The sequence below is a fragment of the Homo sapiens genome, chromosome 7 (assembly GCF_000001405.40).
Source record: "Homo sapiens chromosome 7, GRCh38.p14 Primary Assembly".
NCBI classification, from domain to species: Eukaryota; Metazoa; Chordata; class Mammalia; order Primates; family Hominidae; genus Homo; species Homo sapiens.
In genome coordinates this window covers 158,299,472-158,314,410 of record NC_000007.14, presented here as the reverse complement: position 1 = coordinate 158,314,410, position 14,939 = coordinate 158,299,472, and the positions used below count along the sequence as shown (strand labels likewise).

The 14,939-nt window shown below is 45.5% G+C and overlaps 1 protein-coding gene across 14 annotated transcripts in view, besides 1 other annotated feature; it reads left to right on the top strand.

The window, feature by feature from the left end:
- Window positions 1–14,939, top strand: part of PTPRN2 (protein tyrosine phosphatase receptor type N2) — a 1,048,768-nt gene that overhangs the window by 273,413 nt on the left and 760,416 nt on the right. The window lies entirely within an intron of this gene.
- Window positions 3,167–3,679: an enhancer, noted in NCBI's record as "H3K4me1 hESC enhancer chr7:158103424-158103936 (GRCh37/hg19 assembly coordinates)". NCBI's record gives its function as "activates a minimal SCP1, AML or CMV promoter by ChIP-STARR-seq in primed H9 embryonic stem cells {active_cell/tissue: H9 hESC(primed)}" and the evidence as "EXISTENCE:reporter gene assay evidence [ECO:0000049][PMID:30033119]".

Genomic DNA, 14,939 nt, shown 5'->3' with positions numbered 1-14,939 from the left:
AGGAAGGTTGTGTAAATATTCAACTGTGTCACATTTTCTGAGTTTGCTTGTCTTGTGAGCCTTACTCTGTGTTTCACCCTTCACTTTATTATCTTGAGAAGAGGGAAAAGCCTCATTTAAGGAGCAAACAGATGAGCTTTTGCCACTCTGATGGCTGGACGTGCGAGTGGAGGCCAGGGGTCTTTCAATGAGAATGGGCGTGACTCTTTCAGAACTTCCCCTGAGCGTAATTTCAGCCCGGCTCTAGGTATGTATGTAGCTATCACCATGTGCTGGCAACTGGCACTGAACATCATCACGTTTCTGTGCTATCCTGTGCTGAGATGTGGCGGGGGCAGGGTGCCGGAGTTCACCTGAGCTCCCTTGTCATGGGAGCTAGTGCCACAAGGGCTCCGGGGCCCTGCCTGGGTGGGCGTCCTGGGATGAAATGAAACCAGAGAATGCACAAGACTCTCAGCCTGACAAACTAGAAAAAAACCAAGAAATTTAAGGTGAGTTTCAAAAGGAGGGATAGAAAAATATCTAGTGGCCCCGAATTCCCCAACAGAGATGAGTTTTCTCACCTATGATTTTAAAGCAATAGCTTTTTCTAGTTTGTCTCATATATCCATGAATTTAAATTACATGACAATAATCTAACCAAATAATGGCAAAAGGTAACTCCTAAGGAAAACCATCTCAGAGAAAATTAATATTGTGCCGAGTGTCAGGCTATGTCCACATTCCTGGCACCTGTTCTTGAGGATAAGAGCATCTTTATGGAGACGGAGTCCCAGGCAGCCCCACATGGGGATAGGGGGGTCCCAGGCAGCCCCATGTGGAGATGGGGGGTCGTAGGTATCCTTGCATAGAGACAGAGGTCCCAGGCAGCCCTGCATCTCCAGTCTTGCTCAGGCCCTGGCTGAGCGTCTGCCCAGGTGTATCAGAACTGCCCATGGCCTGGGCAGCTGGAGCCCTCTGCCCAGCTCCATCCCCAGGGACTGTGTGTCCTGGGCTGTTGGACTCTCTAGACAGTGAAAAGTCATCTTCTGCATTGTGGGGACACAGAATTGCTGACACCTTCCCAGCTGGTTCTGACACAGCTGTGGGGTGTGTCCTGGGGTGGGCATTTCCAGCAAACCCTGGGGATGACCCCGTGGCAGGAGGACGACCCTGTGGCAGGAGGCCTCTTTGGTTGCCAGGGCCATTGGTGTGTCTAGTCCAGGATGCAGGCTTCTGGAAGGTGGGCATGCTGCGAAGGCACACGTACCTGCACATGCATTCACATGCTCACGTGTAGACACAGACACATTTGCACACACACTTGCACACTCATACACATGCTCACATGTAGATACCCACACGCAGACAAACCTGCACACACATTCACGTGCTCATGTGTAGATACCCACACACGCACACACCTGCACACTCACCTGCACACACACATGCTCACATGTAGACATGCACACACGCACACACCCCTGCACACTCATTGACATGCTGACATGTAGACATCCCCACACATGCATGCACACCTGCACACACACATGCTCATGTGTAGACATCCACACACATGCACACACACCCATGCTCACGTGTAGGGGATATCTACACGTGAGCACGTGAATGAGTGTGCAGGTGTGTGTGCGTGTGTGGGTATCTACACATGAGCACGTGAATGAGTGTGCAGGTGTGTGTGTGTGGGTATCTATATGTGAGCACGTGAATGAGTGTGCAGGTGTGCATGCATGTGTGCAGGCAGGCACACATGCATGCACACTTGAAGGAAAGAATCTCAAATCCTGGTGTCTTCCTGAGTTTTGTCAGCCTCACATGGGGGGAGTGTTTGAGTAGGGAGGTTTTGCGTGTGGGTGTCTACACTGGAGCACATGTGTGTGCAGGTGTCTGTGCGTGTGTGTGGGTGTCTACACGTGAGCACGTGTGTGTACATGTGTGGGTATCCACGTGAGCATGTGAATGAGTGCGCAGGGGTGTGTGCATGTGTGTGTATGTCTACATGTGAGCATGTGAGTGCATGTACAGGTATGTGTGCATGTGTGCATGTGTGTGTGTCTACACCTGAGCACGTGAGTGCATGTGCAGATGTGTGTGGGTGTCTGTGTGAGCACATGTGTGTGCATGTGTGCGTGTCTACATGTGAGCACGTGAGTGCGTGTGCAGGTGTGTGTGCATGTGTGTGGGTGTCTGTGAGCACGTGTGTGTGCATGTGAGTGTCTACACATGAGCATGTGAGTGCATGTGCAGGTGTGTGTGCATGTGTGGCTGTCTACACGTGAGCACGTGTGTTTGCCTTGTGTGGGCGTCTACATGTGAGCATGTGAATGAGTGCACGTGTGTGTGTCTACATGTGAGCACGTGTGTGCATGTGTGTGTCTCTACACGTGAGCATGTGAATGTGCAGGTGTGTGTGCATGTGTGTGGGTGTCTACATGTGAGCACGTGAGTGCATGTACAGGTATGTGGGTGTCTACACGTGAGCACATGTGTGTGCAGGTGTGTGCGTGTGTGGGTGTCTACACGTGCAGGTGTGTGGGTGTCTACACATGAGCATGTGAGTGTGTGTGCAGGTGTGTGTGCATGTGTGTGGGTGTCTACACGTGAGCATGTTCATATGCAGGTTTTTCAGGATTCCAGAAATGATTCTGTCTTGGTAACTGCGCTTGAAACAGAGTTGATCCTGTGCTTCTGCCTGTCGTCTTCATCCAGGCCACTTCTTGCAGGTGCAGTTGTCAGATTCATTGACAGACAGCTGCTTGCGCGGCCTTCAGAGTCTTCTGCACGAAGAGGAGGGTAAATGGGAGTTAATTTCACAACCTTCTTCCTCCAGGTAGATGTGTACATCACAGAACAAAATACGTTCACTGTGTTTTTACCATTCTTGTCTACTACAGGCAGCATTATTTCATGGGCAGACACACTGCTCTCTCATGTATGATTTTTTTTTAAATACATTTCACTTTTTCTGACAAGCCATTAAAATTCAGCATTTAAATGTCACTCGTTGGCATGCAATTTGCTGTCATGAAAACGACTGTGGATTCATTTCCTGGTAAGAATCTTCTGACTTATTGAGCTGCATGTCAGAAGCAAAAAGCAAAAAAACCAAATATGTACATAAAACAGTGTTATCATTCCTTAAAAGAGAAGGAAAATAAATCCCTAAATAATGTGGACTGGAACACAGAAATCCAAGGCTGGCCGCACGGGTCCTGGCTGGGATGGCATCCGGGGAGCTGCTGCTGGGGACGTGCTTGCCGGCACAGGTCAGGGGAGCCGGGTTCTGCCTCCTCCTTGCCCACTCTATTTGCGCCCTCCCTGTGCTCGCCTGTCTTGTTTTACCTCCCATCCTGGGCCCTTGGAGCTTGGAGGCTTTCCTTCTTGCTGAGAGGAGCTGAGATCCACCCCCTACCCGACCTCCAGGCAGATGTGTGGTGTGGGGTTGGGGAGGGAGAACGTCTGGCTCACGTCTGGTGAGCACAGGTGGGTGTGTTGGAGTCACGCGTGGTGCTCACCCTCCGTGTGACTCGCGCTCTGTCAGGCTCAGGGCTCGCCCTCCGTGGGATTTGCGCTCTGTCCGGCTCAGGGCTCGCCCTCCGTGGGACTTGCGCTCTGTCCGGCTCAGGGCTCGCCCTCCGTGGGACTTGCGCTCTGTCCGGCTCAGGGCTTGCCCTCCGTGGGACTTGCGCTCTGTCCGGCTCAGGGCTCGCCCTCCGTGGGACTTGCGCTCTGTCCGGCTCAGGGCTCGCCCTCCGTGGGATTTGCGCTCTGTCTGGCTCAGGCTGCGCAGGGCAATGGAGGAACCTCCCGAGCAGGCCCAGTGGCTCCTTCCACCCAGCCCCCATCTCCGGCCGGCCATTTGTGAGGCCCTCTGCCACTGAGGTGCACTGTTTCCAATTCCTCATTCACAAGCTCTACCTTCCACAGGAGCCCAGAGCATGAACGCATTCGGCCATGGTCCTCACCACTCTGCGAGGAGCACAGCCTCTTCTCCACCGTCCGATAGTGTGTTCCTCCTTTCCCAGGCCTCACAGAATGCTCTGTCTGCATCCTCCCAGCATTCCATTCATGATGGCCGAGCTGTTCTCTAAGAGATACTGCTTTGTCTTCCTTTTGATCTCTCAACACAAGCACTTTTAAAAATTCATCCATGGCGAAGGAGGCTTGTTCCAGCACACACCTCAAGACTCAGCCTCAACAAGTTTCCCAGACCCAAAGTTGCTTCTGCATTTTTAGGAATTTGTCACAGCCGTGCTGCTACTTCCCGGTGCCAATTTTTCTCTTGTTCGAGTTGCTGTCACAAAAATCACATGGCGTGGGTGGCTGAAACAGCAAACATTGATTTCTCAGAGCTCTGGAGGCTCCCCCATATTTGGTGTCTGGTGGTGGGTGGCTTCCTGGTTCATGGGTGGCATCTTCCCCCCGTGTCCTCATGTGGCAGACGGGGCAAGGGAGCGCTCTGGGATCTCTTTCGTATGGACACTAATCCCACCTGCATGGGCGCCGTCTTCATGACCTAATTACCCCCAAAGCCTTCACCTCCTAATGCTGTCACACTGGGGATCAGAATTCCAGCACGTACGTTTGGGGAGGATGTCAACATTCAGTCTGTATCATAGCATGTGTATTCTATGACCATAGTGTATCTCATTGGTTAGTTTTTATATTTGAACTAATCTTATATTCCTGGGATAAGTCTTACTTGACCATGCTGTATAATTCTTTTTATATGTTTCTGGATTTAGTATCTTAGTGTTTCGTTGAGAATTTTTATGTCCGTATTTATAAAGGATATCTCTTAATCTTTTGATATCTTTGGTTTTGGTATTATAGTAATACATAACTTGTCAAATGCATTAGTCAGGGTTCTCTAGAAGGACAGAACTAATAGGATAGATGTGTATATAAAGGGGAGTATTTTAAGGAGTATTGACTCACGATCACAGGGTGAGGTCCCATAATAGGCCCTGAGGAGCAAGGAAGCCAGTCTGAGTCCTAAAGCTGAATAACTTGAGGTCCGAGGTTCGAAGGCAGGAAGCATCCCGCAGGGGAGTAGCGTGTAGGCTGGAAGACTAAACTACTTTTGTGTTCTTCTGCCTGCTTTTATTCTGGCCATGCTGGAAGCTGATTAGATGGTGCCCACCCAGACTGAGGGTGGGTCTGCCTCTCCCAGTCCACTGACTCAAATGTGAATCTCCTTTGGAAATGCCCTCACAGACACACCCAGGATCAATACTTTGCATCCTTCAATCCCATCAGGTTGACACTCAATATTAACCATCACATCAAGTTAATTGAAGAGTATTCTTTCTTTATTTTTTTTGGAAGACTGTGAAAGAATGATGTTAATTCTTCCTTAAACATTTGAAGTGAAGCTATTGCAAATGGAAGCCATCTGACCATGGGCTTTTCTTTATGAGGTTTTAAATTACTCATTGAATTTCCTTAATTATTATAGGCATATTCAAATTTTCTATTTCTTCTTGAGTCAGCTTCAGTAGTTCATGTCTTCATAGGAATTTGTCAATTTCACCTAGATTATCTAGTTTGTTGGCATATGATTACTTATAGTATTTCTGTATAGTCCTTGTAATTTTTATGTCTGTAAGATCAGTAATAATGTCTTTTCATTCCTGATTATTTTTTGAGTTGCTTTCTTAGTGTTTGCTAGAAGATTAATATTATTTAATTTTATTAACACCAAGTTAATATTAATTTAATTATTAATTCAAATTAACATTAAGATCTTTATAATAATCTAGTTGAATTAATACCAACTTAATTTTCAAACACTCTCTGTCATTTTTTCTCTTTCCCTCCTTTGTGCTGTTATTGTCATGAAAATTATATCTTTATAGATTGTATGTTTATCAACATGGATTTATAATTATTGCTTTATGCAGGTTTTTTAAAGAAAATTAGGAGAAAATAAATGTTACATACTCAAATATTTGTTCTGTCTTTCATATTTACTAAATAATGACCTTTACTGGTGCTGTTTATTTCTTCATCTGGATACAACTCACTGTCTAATGTCCTTTCATTTTTGCCTAAAGTACTCCATTTAGAACTTGCTAGGGAAGGGTTGTTGGAAAAAATTCTCTTTGTTTTTTGTTTGGGAATGTATTGATTTCTCCTTTAGTTTTGAAGGATCGATTTTCTGAATATAGAATTCTTGGTTGATAGACTTTTTTCTTTTAGGACTTTGAATATATCATTCCACTGCCTCTTGGCCTTCATAGTCTCAGATGAGAAATTAGTTGTTAATATTATTGAGGATCATTGCCTATTTTCTGTTGCTTATCACAGAATATCTGAAACTGGGTAATTTATAAAGAAAAGGAATTTATTTATTACAGGTATCTGGGCTGAGAAGTTCAAGGTTGAGGGGCAGAATCAGGTAAGGGTCTTCTTGCTGTTGGGGACTCTCTGCAGAGTCCTGAGGTGGCACAGGGTATCACATGATGAGGAGGCTGAGCATGCTAGTGTGCTAGCTCAGGTCTCCCTTCCTCTTCTTAGAAAGTCACCAGGTCCCCTCTTGTGATAACCCACATGAATTAATTCATTAATTCATGAGTGGATTAATCCATTCATGAGGGCAGAGCCCTCATGACCCAGTTTCCTCCTCCCTCCTGATACTCCCAAATTAGGGATTAAACTTCAACATGAGTTTTGGAGGGGACAAATATCTAGTCCATAACATGTGTGACAAGTTGCTTCTCTCTTACTGCTTTCATTAGATTTACTTTGTCTTTGGGTTTTGAAGGTCTGATTTTGATGTATCTAGGTGTGGCTGTCTTAGAGTTTATTCTACTTGGAGTTCATTGAGTGTCTTAGATATGTAGATTCATGTTTTCCATCTAGTTTTGGGAATTTTGGGTCATTATTTCTTCAAATATTCTTTCTACCTCATTCTTCCTCTCCTACATCTGGGACTTCCTTTACGTGTATCTCAGTACATTGGATGGTCTCTCACAGGTTTCTAATTTTTTATTATTCTTTTTTTTTCTGTTCCTCAGACTGGATAATTTCAGTTGACCTATCCTGAAGTTTGCTGATTCTTTCTTCTGCTGCTAAGATCTGCTGTTGAGCTGCTGTACTGAATTTTTCAATTATTTTTGAAATATAATTTCTATCTTTTTATTCATATTCTCTATTTGATGAGACACTATTTTCCTACTTTTATTTAGCTCTTTAGACATTGTTCTTACAGTTTTTGGAGCACATTAAAAATAGCTCATTTAGTCTGGGCACAGTGGCTCATGCCTATAATCCCAGCACTTTGGGAGGCCGAGGCGGGTGGATCACTTGAGGTCAGGAGTTCAAGACTAGTCTGCCCAACATGGTGAAACCCCGTCTCTACTAAAAATACAAAAATTAGCTGGGCATGGTGGTGCATGCCTGTAATCCCAGTTACTTGGGAGGCTGAGGCAGGGGAATCAATTGAACTTGGGAGGCAGAAGTTGCAGTAGGCTGGGATCACACCACTGCACTCCAGCCTGGATGACAGAGCAAGACTCTGTCTAAAAAAAAAAAAAAAAAAAAAAAAAAAAAACAAAAAACAGCTCATTTAAAGTCTTTGTCTTGTAAGCCATTTGGCTTCCCCAAGAACAGCTTCTATTGTTTTCCTGTGGAAGAGGCACATTTGCATGTTTCTTTGAATGCCTCAAAAATTTTTAGTAAAACTCAATATTTTAAATAACATAGTGTGGCAACTTTGAAAACCAGAATTTCCCTCTCCTTAGGTGTTGTTGTTGTTGTTGTTGCTGTTTATTGTTGTTTGCTTGCTTAGTGACTATTCTGAACTAATTCTGTAAAGTTTGTGTTTTTTCATCATGTGTGGCCACCAAGTCTCTGCTCAGTTTGGTTAGTGGTCAGATGACCAGACAGATTGCCTTAAATGCCTAGAAACAAGCCTCAGTCTCTGCTGAGGGTTCTGTGTGAGTGTGGGGCATACCTTCAGCCATCAGACAGGCAGTTCACAGCTCTGTTGTAGCCTTCACTTCATGCTGGCCCAGAGCCTCTACATCAGCCAGTGGTGAGAGCTTAGAGCCTCATGTCTTCCCTGAGTGTGCACAGCCTGGGCAGGCACACAGCCCTCCATGTGTTGTGGCCATCCATATTCCAAGGATCGTGTCAGAGCTTTGCAAAGCACCTGTGCACATCTCATTTTCCAGCTTTTCCTTCAAGCTTTCTGGTTAGCCTATTGTTTGTCCCAACCATTATCCTCTACCTCAGGTGGCTGGTAAGTAAAACATTGTCTCTAAATGTTTTCAACAAATGCCCCCAGGGAAAGACTTTTCACATATGTGAGCTTTGAGTTGGATGAAATAAAGACAGCCTTTCCAGTGGGTCCTCCAGGGAACAACCAGACAGGTCAAGTAGTGACAATTCTCTGGGAATGGGGCTTTGAAGGCACTCTAACCCCACCCTGTGCTTTCTGGTGGCTTCCAGGCTGTTGGTTTTTACTGCCATTGTGGGCTGCTCATTTTCAAGCCTGTGGCAGAGCTGAGGAGAGGGAGCTGGAAATAGGGTGAGTTAAGATGCCAGGAAGTTCGCTGTTCTTGCTGAGATTCAGCCATTTCTTTCTTTTTCTTTCTTTCTTTTTTTTTTTTTTTGAGTAAATTGCTCTGATTTCTGCTAGCCTTTAGTTAATTTCCAGAGTTCTGTAAAAGTTGATTCTGATATTTTTGGGTGGTTTTCTCATTGCTTTTATGAAGGAGGGAATGTTTAAGGTTCTTTGCCATTTTCACTGATGTCTACAGCTACTTCCTAAGGCTGCTTTTCTCTGGTCCTCTCCTCAACGTTCATCTGGACATCGCCTTGGGGATCACTAGCTGGGGACAGCTTCACTTCAGTTTGATTTAAGTGTGATCTTGGTTTGTTGATTTCCTTGTCTAGTTGCTCCGTCTGTTTTATGTGGGAATTGGGGAATACCCAAAAACAATGCTGCCATGGCCACATCCATCTTTTTTTCTCTTTCTCTCTCCACCTCCCTCCACCACTGTCTCCCTCCCTCCCTCTCTCCCTCTATCTTTAGCTCTATGTTTTGTCTAATATAAAAATGAATCCCTATTTTTTCTGTTGTCCTTTCCTTGTTAAAAATATCCGTTGGATTCCTCTGCACTGAAGGAAAGAAGCCACTCTTGGCTTTAGAGTATAAACCAAAAATAAAATTCTAAGTCCCCCAGCCAGCTGAATGGACCCTTCCTCTTGGCCAAGGGCACTCTAAAGTAAACCTGAAACACTAGTTCAGGCCATGATGGGAAGGGGTGTTTGGACACACCTTATCCTACCCTCCTCCCTTGGTGTCCAGGCACAGCTGACCAGCGTTAACATTGGAACAGAGGCGTGAAGACAGACAAAGCAGACCTTTTGCAGCTATAAGGTACCAACATGGCAGATTGCAGGCCCTGAAAGAAATGGAAGTATTTTACCCCAAAATATATTTCTGCGATATATTTAAATGGCTTGCAAAGCTGTCTCTCCTGGGAAATGTCTACATTCTGTAGAGAATCCCTTTTCCTTTCCAGGTCTTTTCCCTGATCCAAGAGGGAATTAATTAAGAGTCTGGCACCTTTTCAAGTCTGATAAACATTGACCATCTATTCTCTCTGAAGCCTGCAACCTGGAGGCTTCATCTGCATAATAAAAACCTTGGTCTCCACAGTCCCTTATCTTAACCCAGACACTCTTTCTACCGATTCCCAGTCCTTAGATAAACTCAACCAATTGCCATTCAGAAATCTTTGAATTCACCTATGCCCTGGAAGACCCTGCTTAGTGTTTTCCCATCTTTCTGGACCAAGCCTGTGTACATCTTAGGGTATTGATGGGTGTCTTATGCCTCTCTAGCATGTAGAAATCCAAGCCTGTGTACGTCTTAGCCTATTGACGGGTGTCTTATGCCTCCCTAGAATGTAGAAATCCAAGCCTGTGTACATCTTAGTGTATTGACGGGTGTCTTATGCCTCCCTAGCATGTAGAAATCCAAGCCTGTGTACGTCTTAGCATATTGACGGATGTCTTATGCCTCCCTAGAATGTAGAAATCCAAGCCTGTGTACATCTTAGCATATTGACGGGTGTCTGATGCCTCCCTAGCATGTAGAAATCCAAGCCTGTGTACATCTTAGTGTATTGACGGGTGTTTTATGCCTCCCTAGCATGTAGAAATCCAAGCCTGTGTACGTCTTATGTGTATTGATGGATGTCTTATGCCTCCCTAGCATGTAGAAATCCAAGCCTGTGTACATCTTATGTGTATTGATGGATGTCTTATGCCTCCCTAGCATGTAGAAATCCAAGCCTGTGTACATCTTATGTGTATTGATGGGTGTCTTATGCCTCCCTAGCATGTAGAAATCCAAGCCTGTGCACATCTTAGTGTATTGTTGGATGTCTTATGCCTCCCTAGTGTGTAGAAATCCAAGCTGAAGCCCATCCACCTTGGGCACATGATCTTAGGCTCTCCTGGGGCTGTGGCCTGGGCCATTGGTCACCCACATGTGGCTCAGAATACATTTCTTCAAATAGTTTTCAGAGTTTGACCCTCTTCATCAACAGGAGCAGTAGTTGTCAGCCCTGACGTTATATTAAAATAACTTGGGAGCCTCGGAAACCATGGTGTCTGGGGCTTACCCTTCAAAGATTCTGAATTGATTTGTCTCATATGAGGCCTGCCATCAGCATCTCCTAAAAATTCTCCAGGTGATTTCAGTGTCTTCATATTTATTTTCTTCCATGAATAAAATGGGACTAACACTCTCTGAAGCTTGTTTTATATACCAACAATATGAATGGCTTTCTTCTTATTCCTGTCTTAAATTTTTATCCAGCTGTTTTAAGGTTTACACATTGCAAGCTTAATGACATTTTAATCCTGTATGGTAAATTAGTATAATGCATTTTGTTAAAATTTTCATAGAATAATGGAGAAGGGAATACTGGATATAGTATAGAGCAGTAAAATTTTAACAGTAGTTTTAACTTACAGAATTCTACTGGTGCTTTCCTTTTGCTGTAGGGAAGTTACATCTCTTTATTTAGCAGATTAAAGAGACGGAATCACAGAGGGATTACAGGGTGTTCCTGGGGTCCTTCGGCTGGTGTGGAATGGAGAGCGGAATTCCAAACTCCCAGCAGCAGAGTGCAGAGCCGTGATTTTTAAAATGTTGTTCTCAGGATCACATCCTATTATTGAAAATTACTGAAGACTCCAAAGAATTTTTTTTTTTTTTTTTGGTGGGTTAGTGCTATCCACATTTGTTACCTTAGAAATTAAAATTGCCAACACTTTAGAAAAGCTGTTTATTAATTCACTTTAAAATAAATCATAAAATTATTTCATTATAAACACAGTAGCTATATTTTCCAAAACATAAAAAAGTGCTAAGTGTGACATTTTTGTTTTACATTTTTACATTCTTGTTTCACGCTTTTGCATATCTCATTGTTTCATTTAACAGAAAACACTTGGATTCTCATCTCTGCCTCCCACTCATTCTGTGTCATTTCCTGCCACATAGCCTCTGGACTGTTCCAAGTTCTCTCATAAAAGAGTACACGTGAGAAAGGCAAAGTATGTCTTAGTATTTTATGAAAATAGTTTTGGCCTCATGGACCACTTGAAAGAGCTTAGGGGCCTCTTACAGTTGCAGGCTGTGCTCTGAGCATTGATTGTGGAGAGACAACAGGGTGGCCTTGGAGTCCGGATGGAGTTTAAGTTCCAGCTGCGGCACGTGTGAGTCGTGCCATCTTACGCACATCACGTAACTGCCCTGTTTTGGTTGTTTATCGTGAAACGAGGGTGGTCCTACATGCCCTAGGTTGAATGTGCTGGGACCAAACTCTGAGACAGAGATTTGCATGCAGTCGGTGACTGGGGGTGATCTGGGGTAACCCCCGTACAGGTGAGGGAAGCTGAATTGGGCAGAGGGAGAAGGTGAGCTGGAATGCAGTTTAAGAGGACCGAGCTGATCCTGTGAGGTGCTCTGCAGCCGGAGCTGGGGTTCCCCTTCAGGGTTGACCCAACCAAGGCTGGGGGCTAGGCCTTTGTGTCCCACATGAGGGATCACTGATGGTGGTTCACCTCCAGGGAGCAAGAGACTGTAACTTAGGGAGTGGCTGTTCCCTTGGGCTCAGGTGGTGATGGGGAGGGATTCAGCGGCTAACCCCTAGCCCTCAACAGCTGGTGTCTGGGGAGAGGATGCAGAGTCCCCAGGAAGCAGCAGTGTGGCTGTCACAGTACCCACCACCCTGAATGTCATCATTTCTCAGGTGTGTATTGTTTTCCCATCACTGAAATTAGGAGGCATCTTTTATAAATAGCACATCATAGTTTAACTGCCAGCGGGTTTGTTTTTCCTTAGCAGTACTAGAGTAATGGTCTGTCTTGCAATCAATAGCTTCCTAGATTGGAGGAGGTCATACCATCTCATGGGACAGGGGATTGCTTTTTTTGAGACAGGCTCTTACTCTATTGCCCAGGCTGGAATACAGCGGCACAATCTCGGCTTACTGCAACCTCTGCCTCCTGGACTCAAGTGATCCTCCCACCTCAGCCTCCCAAGTAGTTGAAACTACAGGTGCAAACCACCATGCCCAGCTAATTTTCGTATTTTTTGGCAGAGATGGGGTTTTGCCATGTTGCCCAGGCTGGTCTCAAACTCCTGGGCTCAAGCAATGCACCTGCCTTGGCCTCCCAAAGTTCTGGGATTATAGGAATGGGCCACCACGCCCAGCAAATGGGATTGTTCTTAAGATTAATTTAGATGGTGCCACTCATTAAATCCTCAGGAAGTGTGAATGCACTTTGCTTATCAGTACTAAGTGTGGTAGAAGCTTCCCTAATGATGTTGAAGGTTCACATAACTCAAACCAGCAAGAGCTGGGGAGTGGTGTGTAGGTTAACCGGGAAGCTGATAAATACAGAGCATTCTGCTAAGCACCTCGGGAGCTAAGACGATGACTCAGAATTGGGAGTTCTAGTTAGCTGCTTGGGAATTCTGAATAAATACATCTGTTCAGCTTCTTACAATTGAGCGCATATTAATGCAAACAGATCAGAACAGGGAGGAGGGGAGTGTGTCAGGAGCCGTTAACACAGAGCCTCGGGACAGCTGAGTTGGTCGTGGTTCGTCTGTGTTCATGCCCTGCAATGCTGTCTGTTTAATTTGCACGGCCCGTGCAAAGTGCAAATACAGGTCCTTAGTTCAGAAATCAAGGAAAAGTGCCCCTAAAGGAACTAGTTATAGTATAAGATGTTTCCTTTCACAATCTCCGTCTTGACTTGTCATGGGATTTTTATTTGCTATTCAGCATCATTCTAAAAACATTAAGATTTTTGAATTATTAACATGAAGGTTACCATTCATCTGTATATCGTGCGTTGCTGGTTTCAAATGCAAATGAAAGAACATTTAATTCACATGCAGAATCTGAACAACTACATAGTTCATCTGTCACAGCTCAAACATGCATATGTATTTCATTCTCATTACAGCGGTGGAAATGCTGTGTGAAACTCACTCGGCTGTGTTTATTTCCCTTCATGAAACAGCCCCTGTCCACCGAGATTCTCCACCTTTGCTCACACATGAGAAGGACTGTGGGCTGCCCACCTCCCCTCCCTCCACACGGCCACGTTCAGCATAAATGGTGGCTTATGTGGGAAAGCAATGTGAGTGGGAGAGAGGGTGGGACCCTTGGTCGTTTGTGTTTCTTAGAACACTGTTGCACTTTGTGGTTTGCAGCAAGCTCTGGGTAAGCAGAGGAGTGGCCTCTTAGGGCCACATGAGCACAGACAGACACGTGGGGGGCGAGGCGCTGCGGGACTGGGTGGCGGGCGAGGCGCTGTGGGCGTGCAGATTGGGGTGTCTTCTCTGCAGGTGCGCGCACCACGTCGCCTCATGGGATGTCTCACACAAAATATAGGTTGGGAGATAAAATCTTTGAGAATTTCAAGACAGCAACAGCAGCGTGTCAAAGCAAATGAGAAATTTTTCTGCACACAGGCCCCTGGCGACTACCTAGGTCCATGCTCCCGTGAGGCTGCCCACCTTCCAACCCTAGCCGTCGGATCAGACGATACGAGGGGACCTTTGGCCGTTTGCTTTATGGCCTTGACTCCAAGGGCTAGGGGTAGAGCCTGACTGTCACCATTGGGAAATGCCACAGTGGGCCCATCCCTCATAATTACAATCATTTCCGCATTTGTTTCTATGAAATGGACTTCAGTTAAGAAACTTTGCTTCTTCATTGACCCATATCATCATTTCAGAGGCATTCTCTGTGGTTCAAAGTGACATAAATTGCTTGCTGCCAAAACATCCTAGGTTTCTACAAAGTAAACAAATATTTTCAACTGTCAGACAGTGGGAAAAATGTGTTTCTTGGGAGGAAATGGTGCTCGTTTTGCCTGCTCTGACCCCATGAACCATTCAGTGGTGTTAACCGGAAAAGGCCTTTCCAGAACCTGCCCCTGAGCTGCTAATACTGTCCAAGGGCCTTTCAGGGACGTTCTCCTCCCAGACCAAGGTGCTCATTTTGCTGGGTTCTGGGGTAAAGACCCAACCCCAGCAAGCACCTGCCAGGGCTTCCCTGGGGGGCCTGGGAACCGCCAACTGCTCTGCCACTTCCTGAGGGAGGTGAGGGAGCTCTGTGGCAGTGAAGGATGAATGCAGCCAGCAGCTCTAGGACTGAGGAATCCATGTCTGCTGAAAACTGTCAGAGAGGTGAGAAGCTCATTTACAGCTCTCAGAAGGCCCTGGCTATCTGTCTTTGCCATGTTAATGAGCTAAAAAAAATTGCTTCCTGGTCAGGCGTGGTGGCTCACACATGTAATCCCAGCACTCTGGGAGGCTGAGGCCAGCGGATCAAGAGGTCAGGAGTTTACGACCAGCCTGGCCAACATGGTGAAACCCCATCTCTACTAAAAAT